Source organism: Homo sapiens, chromosome 2 (genome assembly GCF_000001405.40).
Source record: "Homo sapiens chromosome 2, GRCh38.p14 Primary Assembly".
Taxonomy (NCBI): domain Eukaryota; kingdom Metazoa; phylum Chordata; class Mammalia; order Primates; family Hominidae; genus Homo; species Homo sapiens.
In genome coordinates, this window is record NC_000002.12 from 107,221,567 (window position 1) to 107,243,357 (window position 21,791).

Here is a 21,791-nt window from a genome sequence, read left to right on the forward strand (position 1 = left end):
AGCTGGGACTACAGGCGCCCGCCACCACGCCCAGCTAATTTTTTTTTTTTTTTTTTTTGTATTTTTAGTAGAGACGGGGTTTCACTGTGTTAGCCGGGATGGTCTTGATCTCCTGACCTCATGATCTGCCCGCCTCGGCCTCCCAAAGTGCTGGGATTACAGGCGTGATGCATCATCTTTTTCTATGATATCAAATGAATTCCTCTTCTCTTGACTGTTTTTGATGAATCTGATTTTCATGATATAATCCTCCCTTAATTCAGGTAACACTATTCTTGATAAACGAACTTTAGTAATAAAGTAAAATTTAGGTAATTGGGTAACCCCTTTTCTTGCACTGCATTTATTATATTTAGACTATTCCTTTGTGTTAATGTCAGAACTAAATGAAAGTGAGGGAACCAAACAGAGAATAACTACTAGGAAATTCATTAATTAGAGCCATGTTTATATCTTACTGTCAATTTTATTTGAACTAAATTATTGTAAGTTTAATGTGACTCTTTAAGTTTCTTATTAAGAAATAATATGCCTGAATTTCTGACTGTATGGGAGCACAGAAACCTTGCTCCAGAAGATTTAATAAATTAACTGAGCAAAGCACTGATAGCAATCCCTGACACATTGTAAGGGCTCAACCAGAGCTAGTTCATAAAATAATATATATTTTTTACTTCATCAGTATTTTCACATTATGAGAGGTAGTCACAAGATTTTATTTAATAAAGAATATGGTTATTTTACAATAATAGAGCAGGAATCTGAACAATAAATTTGCTGATCGACATTCTCCTGCTCTATCTTATGTTACTTATGATCTTTAATATTACATTTTAATGATTTACACTAGAGTTGACTATATATTTTAAAGTGTCAGTTATTACAGATACATTCTTGTATATGAAGCCCTATATATGGAGAGAAAATACATAACTCACCCTACAGAAGAATTCTTTATACAGAAAATCTACCTTTGGCTTCCTCTAAGTAACAATGTCTGCCAGAGTGGCAGCCAGTCCTTGAAGTCTTTGATACTGGTTCTTGCATAGATAAGGATCTTGGGCCAGAATGGTAAACAACATCCTGCTTTCTTCAAGAAAATCTCATTACTAACCAAATTTCAGATGAGTAAACAGCATGCCCAATGACAGAGCTGATTTACATTCTGGCCTTATTGCAACATGAGCCCAATTAGCAGAAACAAGCACTTCAAAAATTGGCATTGGTCTGCAGAACACACTTTGGAGCAGCATTGCACAGGAATGTTTACTAGACTATTTGAAATAAGTCAATTAAAATTTTGCCTCTTGAATAATGCAACCTATGAGTAAATGTGTACTAGAAGTGACAATAAACATGAGCATGAATTAATTTAGCAGAATGGCCATATTGAAATATTAGAAGTGATCAATGGCCATAAAAATATTTTGTCCCAAATCTCTGACTTTAATTTTCTGTATTGACAACAAAGGTTAGTTGGTTAATATTAAGAGTTGAGAATACTGAGTAAGTTTTGAAAAGTTTCATGAGAAGGAATTTGCTGTTTTATATCCATTAATCTTCATAAGGCTGGTAGCTGAAGAGAATTTTTCCAATATTAGTCAAGCATGAAATGACAAAGCTGATAGACAGTTAAAGCAAATAGCATTTTTGTTTGTATAATGACTTTTGGGGGATATTATTAATAACCATTTTACCTTCATTAATTAGAGGAGCTGTATTTCCTCTGCTGGGTCTCAGAATAGATAATGTGCTTTTAGATTTTCTTTCAATTTAAATATTCATTTGAATGAAATACAGAACACGGAAATTGGAGCATGATTTAACCTAACGGTGTCAGTCAATCATAATTAAGGGTAAATAGAAATGAGACCATTTTAACTAATTTATTTATATATGTATTTAAAAACATTTACTACATACTAGACCATTTCACATATATTATCTTATTTAAAACTCACAATAATGCACAGAATCTAAATAGCTGATACTCAGATTGAAACCAGGTATGACTGCTTTAGAATCCACCTTCAAACCATCCTCTTCCCCCACATTTTCCTAGGCTAGAACAGCAGCTGGTTTCAGTGTCACTACTGACATGAACCAAGGGTCTTTATATTCTACTCTATTCCCATAGAGTTATCTCACTTTGTCCCTTAACACAGCCTGTGCTCAGGTTTTTCATATTTCTCTGTATCTTCAAATTACTTACTTACATCAAATTTGTCTTTGATTCTATTCTTGAGAAATAAATTCTTATGGAAAGCTTATAGAAGAGGAATCTGGGGTTAAGTAAGCCGTCTGAGGTTCCATTATCAAGAGGAAATAAGCCCAGAATATCTAACTCTATTAGAACAACCCCAACAAAACCTATTAGATCGTATTTACTTTTTATTTTAAACACGTTTTATTAGAGAGAAATGTGCTTGGTGAATTATCAGCAAGTGAACACATTCATATAACCTCACCCACATAGAGAAATAAAATAACTAGGATCCAGATGTTCCTTCATAAACCCTCTTGATTCTTACCCATTCACATTCTCCAAAAATAACCACTGTCTTGATGTTTAACTCCATAGATTTGTTGCTTCTGGTTTTAAGCCTTTTATAGATTGAATTATATGTTATGTTTCTATCTTAGTCCATTCAGACTGCTATAACAAAATACCATAGATTAGGTCACTAATAAACAACAGAAATTTATTTCTCACAGTTTTGGAGGCTGGAAGTCCAAGATCCAGGCACTAGCAGATACAGGGGATGGTTAGCGATCTCTTCCTGATTTATAGAAGGTGACTTCTTGCTGCGTCCTCACATGGTAGAAGGGGTGAGGCAGCTCTCTACGGCCTCTTTTATAAGGGTATTAATCCCTTTCATGAGGGATCTGACCTCATGAGAGAATTACTTTCCCAAAAGGCCTACTTTCTAATACTTTCATCTTAGGGGTGAGAATTTCAACATATTAATTTTGCGGATACATAAGCATCCAGTCTGTTAAATAAAGTAACACTGTTACTTATTTATTTATTAAACTTTTTTATTAAACTTATTTTTTATTAAACTTATTAAGCTTATTTTTTATTAAACTTATTTATTTATTAAACTTTATTTATTACTGTTTAATAAAACAGTTACTGTTTCTATGTTGAACTTGCATCAGCACTCTTGGTTAATTTATATGTTAATTCTAATAGCTTACTTATGAATTATTTTGGATTACTATATATATAGATATTTTGTCTACAAAAGAATGACAGTTACATCTTTCCTTGTGTCATTTCTTTTTCTTGACTTATAGCAATAGCTATAATCACCAGTGCAAAGTAGCGATGATGCTATGATGGCAAGCAATTTTGTCTTATTTCTTATGTTAAAGATTTCAGATGTCACCATCAAGTATATTGTGTGATGTAGGGTGTATATATATTTTTATATAAGTATATATGCACATATATACTTATATATTTGATAAAGGATGTGTATATATATACTTATAGATGTATACATACTTGTATATGTATATATAGATGTATATATACATCTATAAGTATATATATGTCTATATGTATATGTACACATATATACACATATACATATATACATATATATACTTATAGATGTGTATATATATCCATACACCCTATGTGTATACAAACATCCTTTATCAAATATGTATACATACATGTATATATACATCCTTTATCAAATATATATACATAAATATATTCTTTATCAAATTGAGAAATTTCCTTGTATCAAAATTGTTTTTCTGCATTTATTGCAATGATTATATATTATTTTCTTTCTTTGTCCTGTTAGTGAATGGTGAATAATTTTTATTGATTTCTAAGCTATACTTGAGGAATACATCTAACTTGATCGTAATGTATAATTCTTTTCATATTACAAGATGATATGGTTTGGATTTGTGTTCCTGCCCGCATCTTATTTCAAATTATAATCCCCAGTGTTGAAGGAGGGGCCTGGTGGGAGGTGATTGGATCATGGGGGCTGACATCCCCCTTGCTGTTCTCATGACAGTGAGTGAATTCTTACAAGATCTGGTTGTCTCAAAGTGTGTAGCACCTCTCCCTTCTCTCCTTTTCTCCTACTCCAACCATGTAAGATGTGCCTACTTCTCTTTCGCCTTCCACCATGATTGTAAGTTTCCTGAGGCTTTCCCAGCCATGATTTCTGTACAGCCTGCAGAACCATGAGCCTATTAAATCTCTTTTCTTTATAAAACACCCAGTCTCAGATAGTTCTTTATAGCAATGTGAGAATGAACTAACACAGAAGGCATTTGGCTAGTTAATATATATATTTTTTAAAATTTCCATATATTTCTTGGAAAAGTTGGCCTGAATATAGACATTCTTACAATATCCTTTACAGAGATTCATACCGAGTTTATGTTGAACTCATAACGATGTGATAATAAGTTCTTGTTTCTATTGTGTAGGTGAGTTGGGTAAGTCTGGTATTATATCTCCCTGAAGTATTTGATACGATTCATCAATAAAACCATTTGGGTTTATAGTTTTATATGTAGGAATACTTCAAATTATATATTCAATTTCTTTAACAGATATAGTACATCTCAGATTTTGATGAATTGTGTTACTTTAAGAATTTGTCTATTTTATGTAAAATTTTACCAAATCAGGAGCATGAAGTTCTTTATAATATCATTTTATTATATTTTAAGGTCTGTAGGGCCTGATAATCAATATCAGGAGTAAAAAGTAAGATACTCTGTAGAAGTTATTTCTATTATTTGTAATTTTGCATTCTCTCATTGAGTCATAATCAGCTTAACCAGTGGTTTATATCAATTTATTGGACTCTACAAATAATTGATTTTGCTCTTCATAATTATACGTTTTTTCTTCTTTCTTCAGTTGCATTTTGAACTATCTTTGCCATTTCCTTTCTTCTACTATCTTTGACTTTTATGCACAGTGTTCTTCTATTTTGTTTTTCTTTGTTTTGGTAGCTTTCTGAGCTATAAATTAGATCACTGGTGGCCTTTCCTCTTCCCAATTTTTGCATGTAAAATCAAACATTTATCTACATCCACCAAGTTTTGATACTCCTATTTTCATTATAATTTGCTTCAAAACATTTTCTAATTTCTGATGTAATGTTGTTTTACCTGTGAATTATTTAAACCTTCTGTGATTTATTTTTCAAAACATGGGAATTTTCTTGTCAACTTTTGTTCTTAATATCTTATTAATTTTGTTATTTTCACTGTAGTTAGAGACTTTGTACAATGCAAACCTTTAAAATTTGGTGAAGGTTTCTTTATGGCTCAGTGTGTGATGAATTTCAGTAAATGTTTCATATTCAGCTAAAAATGTGTATTCTCTAGTAGCATGTTAATTAGGTCAAGTTGATTAATAATACACTTTCAAATATTTTATGTAGTTATTGATTTCCCCCCTCTATTTGTTCTGATACATACTAAGAGATGTATACTAAAATTTCACACTGTAATTGTAGATTTGTATATTTGTTTGCATTTTTTGAATATTTGCTGAGTATATTGTGAGAATGCATAATTGGGTGCCTACAAATTTAGAATTTTTTTCTTTCTAATGATTGGATCATTTTATAACTATGACATTTTCTTCTTTTCCTCTGGTAGTGCTTTTGGCTTTAATATTTACTTTGTTTTAAATCAATTATATTCACACTGTTCGAGACATCCTAACCAGAGTGAGTCCACCTTGAATAAAGGCTTAATAAAACCAAACTTTCTGGGTTACATTCCCAGGGGGTTGGGCACTTTGGGTCACAAGATGTTTATGGTTAAGGAACTGAGTTAATGATGCTAATTAACTAAATGAAGACCTAGAATTTATGGAAATGCCCCAGTACTTTAAGAACAAAAAGAATTCTTAGTTTAAGAATAGGTTTTGCTTTAAATATAATAGTACACTCATATGCTGAAATCAATAGTAACATAGGAAAATAATAATACTAATAGCCTGTCCCAAGCTGATTACAAGCCTCTGTAAAAAAGTGAAGTGGTCTTAATATCGCATATAAGCAAGCAGAATGTTTAAGGTAGGGGTGTTCCTCCTCTTGCTTTCTGAGGATGCCGTAGTCTGTAATACAGTAGTCTTTAATAAACTATCTTAACTTCACTATACTGTGACTTTCCCTAAATTTTTTGCTGTGTGAGATCCAAGAACCTGCTCTTGGGGTCTGGGACAAGACCCCTTTTCAGGTGATATTTCCTCTGGTGACTGCCAGACCTTAATGAGGTGAGACCTCCTTTCTGGTAACAATACCAACTTTCTTCCTTTGTCCTTCCTTTTACTTTCACATTTCTATAATGTAATATTTAGGGTGTGTGTGTGTGTGTGTGTGTGCGTGTGTGTGTAAGTGGTATATGGTTGTGCTTTTAAAGACTTTATACCTGATCTGACAATCATTGCTTTTCTATTGTTTATTTCTTTAAGTTGAACTATAACTTACATATAAGTGAGGAAAGAAAAGAACTTTTATCTGAGGAAAAAGAACTTTTGCGTGAGGAATGTGAACCCTTTCAAAATATTAGGAGAAAAGAGGCATGAAAATGAGACAGCAATCATGTTCTATTCTGCCCTTTCGAGCTATGTACTAATCTCTTGAAACTGCTTGCAATTGCCACAAGTATTAATTAGCCTAATAATGTCTCATTATATGCTGTTACTCACACCCTGTAGCTTAACAGTGTATAGCCAATCACTAATCAATGTTATTTCTCTAAACGAATGATAATTCATAGCATAATTTGATTAATATATCAGCCTATTCTCTGTTCCCTCTTTTTTTGCCATTAAAAACCTGCCTGTAACAAAGGCCAAACAGAGCTTATATCGAAGATTGCCTGGGTCTGAGTCTTGCAGGCAGCCATCCTTATTTTGGCTCAAGTATATTATTTAAATCACATTTTGTGTGTTGGTCTCTTCCTTTCAGGTTGACACAAGAAAGCTCACACCATAAATGTAGAGCTTGATGAATTTTTGTAAATGCAACACACTTGTGTTACCAGCACTTGGATAAAGAGACAAAATATTACCAATATTCCACCATTCTTCTGTTCCTATTCCAGTCCTCACCTTCCCAAGGCACCACAGCGTAAAAGAAAGCATGGGTTGTGCCATTTTACAATGCTCAACTCTCACTTGAGCTATTTGCAAAGATTTCTGAGGGTTCTCTCTAGGGTTTTCAATTCTCACTGAGTTTTTCTCAGAGACCCCTGACCGTTGAAGATCCCTGTCTCCTCAGCATTGGGAAGTTGTAGAAAAGTCCACTCTTCTCTAGTTTTGGTGTATCTTTTAGCCATCCAGCCTGCACAGCTTCAGACTTAATCAGTTATCTTGTGGGGAAGTGGCCCACGAAGCCTCTGCTTTTGTCATTCCAGTGTCTTTACAAATACTAAAAGCTGGCTGATTTCTCCAGCTCCTGCAGCAGCCCTGTTAGGGCAAGTGCGGATTCTCACCCTCTAGCCCTGCTCAGAATCAGTAAGAGAAATCAACTAATGGGCAGCGGCAGATCCTCAGCTCACCTCTGAAACTTTCTCCTCTCTCTGGAACTTTTGTTCCTCTAGATTTTATGAAAGCAGCTTTCAAAATAATGTGGTTGTGTAACTTAACAGGTTGTTGTCATTGGGACTGTGAGACAGCCATGAACTATTCCATCTTATATGAAAGTAGAAGCAAGTGCATATTTCATATCCTTGTCCTCTAATTAGAATGTTTATGCCATTTGAATTGAACGAAAGAACACACATTTGTAGGGATTTAAAAATTTTTATTTCAACAGTTTTTGGGGTAAAGGTGGTTTGTGGTTACATAGATGAGTTCTTCAGTGGTGATTTCTGAGATTTTAGTGCAGCCGTCGCCTGAGCAGTGTACACTGTACCCAATGTGTAGTCTTTTCTCTCTCACCCCCGGAGCCCTTCCCCTTAAGTCCCCAAAGTCCATTATATCATTCTTATGCCTTTGAATTCTCATAGCTTAGCTCCCATTTATAAGTGAGAACATATAATGTTTGGTTTTCCATTCCTGAGTTACTTTACTTAGAATAATGGGCTCAATCTCCATCCAAGTTGCTGCAAAAGACATTATTTTGTTCTTTTTTATGGTTAAGTAGTATTCCATGGTGTATATATACATTTTCTTTATCCACTTGTTGGTTGATGGACACTTAAGTTGGTTCCATATATTTGCAATGGTGAATTGTGCTACTATAAACATGTGTGCAGGTGTCTTTTTTATGTAATGACTTCTTTTGCTTTGGGGAGATACCCAGTAGTGTGACTGCTGGATCCAATGGTAGTTCTATTTTGGTTCTTAAAGGAATCTACAGACTGTTTTCCATAGTGGTTTCACTAATTTATATTTCCACCAGCAGGGTAAATATGTTCTGTTTTCAACACATCCATGCCACTAACTATTGTTTTTATACTTTAATTATGGCCATTTTTGCAGGAGTAAGATGGTATCTCATCATGGTTTTAATTTGCATTTCTCTGATAATTAGTGAAGTTGAGCATTTTTTTTTCATGTTTGTTGACCATTTGTGTATCTTCTTTTGATAAATGTCTATTCATGTCCTTTGTCCACTTTTTGATAGGATTATCTGTTTTTTTCTCATTTGGAATACTAGTCCTTTGTCAGATGGAGTTTGTGAATATTTTCTACTGCTCTGTGGGTTGGTTTGTTTACTCTGCTGATTATACTTTTGCTGTGCAGAAGTTTTTTAGTTTAATTAGGTCCCATTGATTTATTTTTGTTTTTGTTGCATTTGTTTTTGGGGTCTTAGTCATGAATTCTTTGCCTAAGCCAATGTAAAAAAGAGTTTTCCCAGTGGTCATGAGAGTTCGTCCCCACTTGAGATCATACTGCAAGGTTCAGCTGGGAGCTTCTTTCACCCTGAAACCCCTCCCTGAGCTCATTGGCTGACTTCCCTGAGGGCCCCTGTGAGATACAGTCAGGAATGGCTTTCCTTGGTTGATGCTAGAGACTGGGAATGCCTACAAGGCACTTCCTGCTGCTGCTTCTAATTTTATATTTCATGCCGCTCCAGCTCTGGGTAGGGTTAAGGCCTTCTCCCTTGGACTGGATTTTCAGATTCCACAGTGGAGACGTGTACCTGGAGGCAGACTTTCCTCCCGTCACACTCTGGGAACTGATAATTTTTCACTTGTCTCACAGAGTAGGCTGCAACCTACTGCTTCTTTCAAAGTGTCTGTGGATTCTTTCTGTTTTCCTGTTAAGTTCCTGTGGTGGTTCTGGAGAAAAAAATTTCACAGTGTGAATCTGTACCCAAGATTCTGTCCTTCTAAGTGGGAAAGGCCCACGAACACTGCCTTTTGTCCATCACCTTGAAAGCATAAAATAAACAGAACAAAAGAACCCCACACATTTGGTTTTAAATCCTCCAACTTTATATATGCCGTTTGTCCCACCTGTACAACATACTTCTCTCATTCTTTGGCTTCTTTTAGGTTATTTAAGTATTTTTATCATTTTTTTCTCCATTCCAGCTCTATTGACTTAAAAGATATACATCATTTTACTATGTTAGTGGTTAACCTAGGGATTACTTTCACAACATTTTGAAAAATACAAGGTCCTTGATAAACTTAACCACATTTACTCTCCTCTACCAACTTATTATTTCTGTACTTGAATTATTTTATAATTTAAATCCCTCAGTGTTATTATTTTTGTATTTTCTAACATGAATATAGATTTTTACAGATATTTATCCATTCTGTTGCTTTTCATTGCATCTCTGAGCTGCCATCTGAGATTATTTTCCTTCTGTCTGAATTTTCATCATTAATACATCCATTAGTGCAGGTCTGCTGATGACAAATTATTTTACTTTTTGTTTGTCTGAAAGTGTTCTTATTCCATTTGCAATTTTAAGAGTTGTTTTCACGGGATGTAGAATTTTAGATTGGCAGCTATTTTTTTCAACAGCTTGAAGACATTTTATTTTCTTCTGGCTTCCTGGTTTTCTGTTGAGAAGTTAGATGAGTCCTATTGTTGCTCTTTTAAAGGAAAGTGTCTTTTTCATTGGTTGCTTTTACATTTTTTTATTTGTCTTAATTCTCACAGGTTTACTAGGATATGCCTAAGTATAGCTCTTTTGCTTTTTGATTGTTGGTGTGTATGTGCAACTTACTTGGGCTTGATACAATTTTTGAATTCATTGCTTGATATCTTGATGTCAGTTTTGGAAAATTCTCAGCCATTACTTATATATTGCTTTGATCCATTCATTTGTTCCTTTCTTTCTGGGACCCAACTACAGATATTATAGAACTTTCACACTTGAGGCATGTCTAATATGATTTTAAATCTGACCAATGAATTCTTAATTCAAGAGTTTCAATTATTGAATTTCTTTAGTCCAACAATTTTATTTAATCTTTTTAAATAATTTCCATTATCTACCCAAATGCTTAATCCTGTTTTTTAAAATTATTTGAACATATTCTTGAATATATTAACTATAGTTATTTTATGCTCTTTTCTGATAATATCACTGCCTAAATTTTTTATGAATCTCTTTCTATAGTCTGCTTTTCCTCTTGGTTTCTATCATCTTGTTTTCTTGTTATTGCTACATCTTGTGTTTATTTTATTGAATGCCAGACTTTGTATGTGAAAATGCTAGAGACAATTTGAGCTTCAGAATGATCTTGTTTCCTTTAGAGAGTTTTTACTTTTTCTCTAAGTAGACATTTAAGTTGTATGTATGTATGTATGACACCCTATATTATCTTTATCCAGTTAATACTTGAAGTGATTAAGGTGGGCTCTGGTCCTTGGTGGACAGAGGCTTTTTTATTTCTGGTTCTCTCATACTCCTAGAGTACAGCCTTTCATTGTTGAAAATGTAAGCCTGGAATATTGAAATAGCCCTCTTTGGTATGTCCTGAACTACTTTTTTTTTTTGGGGGTGGGGGACAGGGTCTCACTCTCATCGCCCACGTGAGAGTGCAGTGGTGCAATCGTGACTCATTGCAGCCTCAACCTCCCAGGATCAAACAATTAAGCAATTTTCCCGCCTCATTTTTTGACTTTTTGTAGAGACGAGGTATAACTATGCTGCCCAGGCTGGTTTTGAACTCCTAGGCTCAAGTAATCCTTCTGCCTCAACCTCCCAAACTGTTGGGATTACAGACATGGGCCACTATGCCTGGTCTTGAACTACAATTGTTGCTCTTTCTGCTGGCAACTACTTAGCCACTCAACCTCTTAAAAACTCTTTTTAGAATTGACAAATTCTCTAAAAGAAAAAGCAGCATAAATCCTTGTCTTCTTAATATTGGTTCTACAAATTATTTCTGCTGTACAGATGTCTTTTTCTTCTCTTTTTGGAGAGTGAGGAGGAAAATCTAGTTAACTTAATTGCTGGGTTTTTTTTTTTTTTTTCCACATTGGTTAGGTTAAGAACAATCTGATCCTTTATGTCTGAAGGTATTTGGTGGTTGTTTATGCACTAAACATAATAGTAGACAACTTCAATACACAATGTTCAATAATGGATGAGAAAACCGGACAGAAGATCAATAAGAAAATGGAGTACTTGAGCAACACTATAGACTAATTGGACCTGATGGACTTATACAGAACAGTGCACAACAGCAAAGTAATCAACGTTCTTGTCAAGCACACATGGAACTTTCTCCAGCATAGATCACATGTTAGTCTACAAAACAAGTCTTAACAAACTTAAAAGATGGAAATCAAAGAGAGTATCTTTTCTCATTACAATGGAGTGAAACTAGAAATCAATACCAGAAAAAAACTGAAGAACCCACAAATATGTGGAAATTAGAATACTCATTCTTAAATAGCCAATGGGTCAAAGAAAAAAAATCACATGAGAATTAAAGAATATCTTAAGACAAGTGAAAACAAAAACACAGCAAATCAAAACTTACAGAAGCAAGCAAAAGCAGTACTAAGAGAAAAGTTTATAGTGGTAAATATTTACATTTAAAAAGAAAAATCTCAAATCAACAACTTAACTTTATACCTCAAAGAAACAGAAAAAGAAGAACAAACTGAAACCAAAACAAGCAGAAGAAAGGAAATAATAAAAAATAGAGCAAAAATAAACAAAGTAGAGAATAGAAAAACCATAGGAAAAAGTGAAAACTAAAAGTTGTTTTTTTTAAAGAGATCAGCAAAATTGACAAAACCTTAGCTGAGTTAACCAAGAATAAAAGAGAAGACTCAAGTAAGTACAATAAAAAATGAAAGAGAGGACATTATAACTGATACCACATAAATAGATAAGACTATAAGAGAATACAATTGTGCACCAACAAATTGTGTAACCGAAAAATGAATAAATTCCTAGAAGCATGCGACCTACTAAGACTGGATCATGAAGAAATGGAAAATCTAAACAGCCCAATAATGAGTGAGGAGATTGACTCAAAAGCATCCCAACAAAGAAAAGCCAAAGTCCAGGTGGCTTTACTGGACAATTCTACCAAACATAACATTTAAAGTGTCTCTGTAACAAAAAATGTCAATCCTATTGAAATTGTTTCAAAAAATTGAAGAGAAAGAAACACTCCCAAACTCATTCGGTAAAGCCTTAATGCTAAAGGCAGACCAAGAAATTATAAGAAAAAAAAGGCAAATCAATAACCCTGATGAATATTGATGGAAAAATCCTCCGCAAAATATCAGCAAACCACATTCAACAAATCATTAAAAGAATTATATAGCATGACCAAGTGGAATTTATTGCTGCAATGCGAGAATGATTCAGCATATCAAAATCAATCAATGTAACACACTACATTAACAGAATGAAGGACAAAACCACATGATCATGATAAAAAAAAATCTCAAAAAACTAGAAACTAAAGAAAACTAACTCAACATTATAAAGGTCATATATGAAAAGTCCACTATTAACATCATATTCAATGGTGAAAGATTAAAAGCCATTTCTCTAAGATGAAGAATAAAAGAAGGATGCCACTCTGCCGCTTCTGTTTGATATAGTACTGGAAGCCCTAGCCAGAGCAATTAAGCAAGAAAAATAAATAAAAGTCCTCCAAATTTCCAAAGAAGGAAAATTATCCTTATTCATAGAGGACATGATCTCACATATAGAACACCTAAAATTCCACCATAAGCCTTTTAAAACTAATACATTCAGCAAAATATTAGGATACAAAATCAACATGCAAAAGTCAGTTGCATTTCTATTCACTAACAATGAACAACTTGAAAAGGAAATTAAGAAAACAATTTCATTTACAATAATGACAAAGAGAATAAAATAGTTAGACATAAACCTAGCCAAGGAAGTAAAAGACTTGTATGCTGATAACTATAAAACATTATTGAAAGAAATTAAAGACAAACCAAAAGACATCTTATGTATCTGGATTGCAAAACTTAATGATGTTAATATGCTGAGTGAGGGGCCAAGATGGCAGAATAGAAACAGCTGTGGTCTGCAACTCACAGTGAGACCAACGCAGAAGGTGGGTGATTTTTGCAATTCCAAGTGAGGTACCCAGTTCATCTCATTGGGACTGGTTAGGCAGTGGGTGCAACCCATGGAGAGTGAGTAGAAGCAGGGTGCGGCGTTGCTTCATCCAGCAAGTGCATGGAACCAGGGGACCTCCCTCCCCCAGCCAAGGGAAGCAGTGAAGGACTGTGCTACCTGCCCTGGGTATTAGGCTTTTCCCATGGATTTTTGCAATCCACAGAACAGGAGATTCCCTTATGAGCCTATACCACCAGGTCCCCGGGTTTCAAGCATAAAACTGGACAGCTCTTTGAGCAGGAATCGAGCTGCAGAAGTTTTTTTGTGCTCCTGCGGCGCCTGGAACGCCAGTGAGACAGGAGAACCGTCCACTCCCCTGGAAAGGGGGCTGAAGCCAGGGAGCCAAGTGGTCTTGCTCAGCAGGTCCCGCTCCCATGGAGCCCAGCAAGCTAAGAACTACTGGCTTGAAATTCTCACTGCCAGCACAGCAGTCAGGAGTCAACCTGGGATGACAGAGCTTGGTGGGGGGAGGGGCAATGGCTTTTCATGAGGCTTTAGTAGGTGGTTTTCCCCTGACAATGCTAGGAGACTGGGATGTTTGGACTGGGCGGAATTCACCACAGCACTGCAAAGCAGCTGTGGCCAGACTGCTTCTCTAGATTCCTCCTCACTGGGCAGGGCATCTCTGCAGGAAATGCAGCAGCCCCAGTCACGGGCTTACAGGTAAAACTCTCATCTCCCTGGGACAGAGCACCTGTGGGGAGGGGTGGCTAAGGTGGCAGCTTCAGTGGACTTAATCTTTCCTGCCTGCTGACTCTGAAAAGAGTGGCTGATCCTTCCAGCACAACACACAAGCTCTGCTAAGGGACAGCCTGCCACCTCACGTGGATCCCTGACCTCCATGTCTCCTGACTGGGAGAGACTTCCCAATGGGTTGACAGACACCTCATATGGAAGAGCTCCAGCTGGCATCAGGCCAGCGCCCCTCTGGGATGAAGCTTCTGGAGGAAGGAGCAGACAACAATCTTTGCTGTTTTGCAGCCTCCACTGGTGATACCCAGGTGAACAGGGTCTGGAGTGGACCTCCAGCAAACTGCAGCAGACCTATAGATGAGGGGCCTAACTGCTAGAAGAAAAACTAACAAACAGAAAGCAACAACAACAAAAACATCAATAAAAAAGACCCCCCAACAAAAACCCCATCCAAAGATCATCAGCCTCAAAGATCAAAGGTAGATAAATCCACGGAACATGAGGAAAATTCCAAAAGCCAGAATCCGTCTCCTCCTCCAAATGATTGCAACACCTCTGCAGCAAGAGCACAAAACTGGATGGAGAATGAGACTGACGAACTGACAGAAGTAGGCTTCAGAAATTGGGTAATAACAAATTCCTCTGAGCTAAAAGAGCATGTTCTAACCCAGTGCAAGGAAGCTAAGAACCTTGATAAAAGGTTACAGGAACTGCTAACTAGAATAACCAGTTTAGAGAGGAACATAAATGGCCTTTTGAAAAAAACATAAATTTTTTTTTGAAAAAACTTAATAAAATAGGTCACTAGCTAGACTAATAAAGAAGAAAAGAGAGAAGAATCAAATAAACACAATAAAAAATGATAAAGGGGATATAACTACTGATCCCACAGAAATACAAACTACCATCAGACAATACTATAAACACATCCATGGAAATAAATTGGAAAATATAGAAGAAATGGATAAATTCCTGGTCACATACACCCTCCCAAGACTAAACCAAGAAGAAGTCAAATCACTGAATAGACCAATAACAAGTTCTGAAAATGAGGCAGTAATTAATAGCCTACCAACCAAAGAAAAGCCCGGGACCAGACAGATTCACAGCCACATTCTACCAGAGGTACATAGAGGAGCTGGTACCATTCCTTCTGAAACTATTCCAAACAATTGAAAAGGAGGGACTCCTCCCTAACTCATTTTATGAGGTCAGTATCATCCTGATACCAAAACCTGGCAGAGGCACATCAAAAAAAGATATCTTCAGACCAATATCCCTGATGAACATTGATGAGAACATCCTCAGTAAAATACTGGCAAACCAAATCCAGCAGCACATCAAAAAGCTTATCTGCCACGATCAAGTCAGCTTCATCCTTGAACCATGCAAGGCTGGTTCAACATATAAAATCAATAAACATAATTCATCACATAAACAGAACCAATGGAAAAAAACACATGATATCTCAATGGATGCAGAAAAGGCCTTTGATAAAATTCAACATCCCTTCATGTTAAAAACTCTCAATAAACTAGGTATTGATGGAACATATCTCAAAATAATAAGAGCTATTTATGACAAACCCATAGCCAATATTATACTGAATGGGCAAAAGCTGGAAGCATTCACTTTGAAAACCAGCACAAGATAAGGATGTCCTCTCTCACCATTCCTATTCAACATAGTATTGGAATTTCTGGCCAGGGCAGTTAGGCAAGGGAAATAAATAAAAGGTATTCAAATAGGAAGAGAGGAAGTCAAATTGTCTCTGTTTGCAGATGACATGATTCTATACTTAGAAAACCCCATCATCTCAGCTCCAAAACTCCTTAAGTTGATATGTAACTTCAGCAAAGTCTCAGGATACAAAATCAATGTGCAAAAATCACTAGCATTCCTATGTACCAACAATAGACAAGCAGAGAGCCAAATCATGAATGAACTCCCATTCACAATTGCTACAAAGATAATAAAATACCTAGGAATACAGCTAATGAGATACGTGAAAGACCTCTTCAAGAACTACAAACCACTGCTCAAAGAAATAAGAGAGGACACAAACAAATGAAAAAACATTCCATGCTTATGGATAGGAAGAATCAATATTGTGAAAATGGCCATACAACCCAAAGTAGCTTATAGATTCAATGCTATTCCCATCAAACTACCATTGACTTTCTTCACAGAATTAGAAAACACTACTTTAAATTTCATATGGAACCAAAAAAGATCTCATATAGCCAAGACAAACCTAAGCAAAAAGAGCAAAACTGGAGGCATCACACTACCTAAATTCAAACTATACTACAAGGCTACAGTAGCCAAAACAGCATAGTACTGGTACCAAAACAGATGTATAGACCAATGGAACAGAACAGAGACCTAGAAATAAGACCACACGTCTACAACCATCTGATCTTTGACCAACCTGAAAAATACAAGCAATGAGGAGAGGATTCCCTATTTAATAAATGGTGCTGGGGAAACTGGCTAGCCATATGCACAAAACTGAAACTGTACCCCTTCCTTACAACTTATACAAAAATTAACTCAAGATGGATTAAAGACTTACATGTAAAACCCAAAACCATAAAAACCCTCAAAGAAAACTTAGGCAATAGGAACATAGGTACGGGCAAAGACTTCATTACAAAAACACCAAAAACAATTGCAGCAAAAGCCAAAATTGACAAATGAGATCTAATTAAACTAAAGAACTTCTTCACAGCAAAAGAAACTATCATCAGAGTGAACAGGCAACCTACAGAATGGGAGAAAATTTCTGCAGTCTACCCATCTGACAAAGGTCTAATATCCAGAATCTATAAGAAACTTAAACAAATTTACAAGAAAAAAAAACCCCATCAAAAAGTAGGCAAAGGTTATGAACAAACACTTCTCAAAAGAAGACATTTATGTGGCCAAAAAATATATGAAATAAAACTCATCATCACTGATCTTTAGAAAAATGCAAATCAAAACCACAATGAGATACCCTCTCAAGCCAGTCAGCATGGCAATTATTAAAAAGTCAGTAAACAATAGATGCTATCAAGGCTGTGGAGAAATAGGAACACTTTTACACAGTTGGTGAGAATGTAAATTAGTTCAACCACTGTGGAAGATAGTATGGCAATTCCTCAAGGATCTGGGACCAGAAATGCCATTTGCCCCAGTAATCCTGTTACTGGGTATATACCCAAAGGAATACAAATCATTCTACTATAAAGACACTTGCACATGTATGTCTTTTGCAGCACTATTTACAATAGCAAAGACATGGAACCAACCCAAATGTCCATCAATTATATACTGGATAAAGAAAATGTAGTACATACATACCATGGAATACTGCATGCAGCCATAATAAAGAATGAGATCATGTCCTTTGCAGGGACATGGATGAAGCTGGAAGCCATCGTCCTCAGCAAACTAGCACAGGAACAGAAAACCAAAGACTGCATGTTCTCACTCATAAGTGGGAGTTGAACAATGAGAACACATGGACACAGGGAGGGGAACAACACACACCAGGGCCTGTCAGTGGGTGGGGGACAAGGAGCGGGAGAGCATTAGGACAAATACCTAATGCATTTGGGGCTTAAACCCTAGGTGATGGGTTGACAGGTGCAGCAAACCACCATGGCACATGTATACCTATGTAACAAATCTGCACATTCTGCACATGTATCCTGGAATGTAAAGTAAAAATAAAAATAAATAAATAAAATAATAAAAAAAGAAAAAAATATTGTTAATATGCCAACACTACCCACAGTGATGTACAGATGCTGTGTAATCCCTAGGAAAAAAATGACTTTTTTTTTGCAGAAATAAAAAGAAAGAACAAAATTCATATGGAGACTTAAGGGATTCTAAATAGCCAAAACAATTTTGGGAAAAAAAAAAACTAAGTTCTTATACTTAGTGATTTCAATATATATTGCAAAGCTACAGTAGTCAAAACAGTGTGCTACTGGCATAAAGACAGACAGTAGACCAATGGAATAGAATAGACTGCCCAAAATAATCCCTTATGTGTCTGATTAAGTAATCTTAGATAAGGGTATCAAAAGCACCTAATGGGGAATGATAGTCTCTATAACAAATTGGGGGTGGGAAAACTGGATATCGACATGCAAAGAATGAAGTTGGGCCTATATATTTCTCCTTACAAAAAGATTAACTCAAAATGAATTAAACACATAAACATAAGAACCAAAACAATAAAATTCCTAGAAGCAAACGTAAGGGAAAAGCGTCATAACATTGGACATGGCAATCAATTCTTGAAGATGACACTCAAAGCATAGGCAATAAAAGCAAAAATAAACAAATGAGACTACATTAAATGTTTAAATTTCTGTGCATCAAAAGGCACAGTCAATAGAGTGAAAAGATAACTTACATAATGGGAAAAACATTTGCAAACTATATATCTGATAAAGGGTTAGAGTAATATCCAGGACATGTGAAGAATTTCTACAACTCGACTGTTGACAACAAAAACCAACCCAATTTAAAAATGGGCAAATGACTTAAATAGATATATATTTCTCCAGTGACATGGAAATGATAAACAAGCATGGGAAAAGATGTTCAACATCACCAGCCATTAGAGAAATGCAATCCAAACCACAATGAGATATCATCTAACACCCATTAGGATGGATACTTAGGTTATCTAATAATAAATAAAAATCAAGTGTTGACAAAGATGCGGAGAATTTGATAAAGTGGAACCCTGTGTGCTATTGGCAGGAATGTAACATCATACAACCACTATGACAAACAGTATGGCAGTTCCTTAAAAACTTAAAAATGGAACTATCATATGATTCAGCAATCCCTCTTCTAGGTATATACTAAGAAAAGTTGAAAGCAAGGTCTCAAAGAGATATTTGTGCATCCATGTTCCTAGTAGCATTATTCACAAAAGCTAAAATGTGGAAGCAACTCAAAGTCCATCAATGGATGAATGGATAAGCAAAATGAGGTATATACATACAGTGGAATATCATCCAGTCTTAAAAAGTAAGGTCACTGTCTTGCATGCTACAACATAGCTGAGCCTTGGAGATATTATACCAAGTGAAATGGGCCAGTTAGAAAATGACAAATAATGTATAATTTTACTTACATAAGTTATGTAAAGCATTCAGATTCATGGAAACAATGGAATGGGGCTTATCACAGTTTGGGGGGAGAAGGAAATGAGTTGTTGTTTAATAGGTACAATATTTTGGTTTCGCAAGTTGCAAAAATTTTAGGGATCTGTTACACAACAATGTGAATATACTTAATGCCACTATTCTGTACACTGAAACATGGTTAAGATGCTAAATTTTACATTGCATGTTTTTTACCACCGTTAAAAAATAAATGTGTAATGATTAAATAATAAAAAAAAGAAAGCGATGATCGTGGCAGCCCCTGCGCTCACAGTATAATTATAGTGGTGCTGGCATTGGGTTGATTAATCTCTCAGAAGAAGAGGAAATGATGTCTATAATAAAGTTATTATGAAGTAAGTATCAGAAGTATAACCTTGATGCCATGATAGAAGATGAAAAAAGCCAGAGGAGAGTAAAACACAAAGGACTAGGTGGCTTTTCAGAAGGGCCTTGAAGCATTCCTAAGATTTTGACCAGTGAAGCTGCTGAGTGAAAAACCAATTCATGTCCAGGGAAGTTTTTCAGAGCATTGTATTTGTAGAGGTATAGTGAAATTGAACCTGGATTTGTCAGCTGGAGTGGAAGCCTTGAGTGCAAGATTAATAAGCAACATTTGGTTTGTGTAGTAGCCAAGAGGAGCTAGCAGAGGTTTCGGGGATGAGTTCACTTGAACAGAGATGCACTTTAGGATGATGAGCAGCAGCAGCAGCAGACAGGATGAATGGCTGTGCTATGAGAAAGAAGCAGAGAGTGGTTAAGAGACGAATACAGCCTGCCAACTGAAAAGCAATGATATACTCCGTTACGCCTTCATCAGGAAAGGTATGGCTCCACTGAGCGGGGATGGTTGCTGAAAACCAGCCAGTTCTCTGCACCCCAAACTGTGCTCCTGAGGGAAGAGATGCCTTTTCCTCATTTGTACAACATTATATTATGAGATGGAAGTGGCCTTGGTACTGGTGAGGCATTGTGAAATGGAACCCAAATCCAGATACATTGTTTTTAGAGAGAGGGATGAATAAGTCACCTTGGAAAGTCCATGTCAGGGAGTCATGGAGAATGAAGTAATATTAACAGGAAGAGGGAGGTCAGGAGGATAAGGTGTGGTTATTTAGATGTGTATGTTCATTTAAGATCTGAAAATATTACAAAATAACAACAGCAACAAAATCTAATGGAAACTCTTTGTAATGAAGTGTGTAGATTTCAGGATATTAAATATTAATGGAGGTTTCTAGATATCTCCAAAGCACTGTGGGAACAGTGCTTTGTACATGATAACAGCCATCTTTTGTTCCTTTTGTTCATGCTTGCTAAAAATTGGGGGATCTTAGACAACCATTTACAAAAAATATCCTACCCTGCACAGGGCAGGCTCTCTGGGCCTGGTCAGCAGTTACAACTTTTGTTTCTAGAAGTCTGTGTGGCTCTGTGTGTCCTCTGTAGAGATTTCCTTCTCTATCCACTAACTCTCTCAGTTAACATTCTTCACCCTTTTTAGTTTATTGGATTTTTTTTTCTTTCTTTTTTTTTCCCCATCTGTGTGTTTGTTTGCCTGTTTCTCCATCTTCATCCTCCAACCTTGCTAGTTTGTTCATTCACACGTTCATTTGGTCATTATTCACACATTCATTTATTAAGCCCATGTGGTAGGCAGAATTCTAGGATGTTCCTCTGAATCCCACCCCATGTCAGAGATAGAAGATGCTAGAGAGAGTCAAAGCTGCAACAGATGTTGTCCTATTGGCCTTGAAGGAACAAACTTCCCTGTTACAGAGATGGCCACAGATCAAGAAATGGCAGGAGGCCTCTAGGACCTGAGCCTAATCCTGGCTGGTGGCTCAAAAGAAAGTAGGGACCTGCAGCTATAAGGAACTGAATTTTGCCAACAACCACACGATCTAGAAAGAAAACCCAGAGTCCCAGAAAGGAACACAGCTTGGCCAACATCTCTGATTCAGTCTTCTGAGACCCTGAAACTGCATCTGTACTTTTGCCCTACAGAAACTGTGAGATAATAAATAAAGGGTGTTATTTTAAGCCTCTGTGGTTGTGGTTACTTATACATCACAATAGAAAATTGGAACAGGTTGACCTTCATTCCTGTTAGTTTGTTTCTGGGCCTGTGTTCCAGAGCTACTAACTCTGCTTACCCAACCCACTGTGCTAGCACCATTGTCCCTGAGTTCCCCAGTGGAGAGCCAGGATTCTCCATTTCCTGGGCCTGCACACGATTCTTGGTCAGGAAACTGTTTACCGTGCTCATCTCCTGGGGTCTACGTCCTTGTTTTGACTTAAACACACAACTTTCTAGCCAATCTCTGCA

The 21,791-nt window shown here is 36.1% G+C and overlaps 1 annotated feature.

The window, feature by feature from the left end:
- Nucleotides 14,187–14,831: an enhancer, noted in NCBI's record as "H3K27ac-H3K4me1 hESC enhancer chr2:107852209-107852853 (GRCh37/hg19 assembly coordinates)". NCBI's record gives its function as "activates a minimal SCP1, AML or CMV promoter by ChIP-STARR-seq in primed H9 embryonic stem cells {active_cell/tissue: H9 hESC(primed)}" and the evidence as "EXISTENCE:reporter gene assay evidence [ECO:0000049][PMID:30033119]".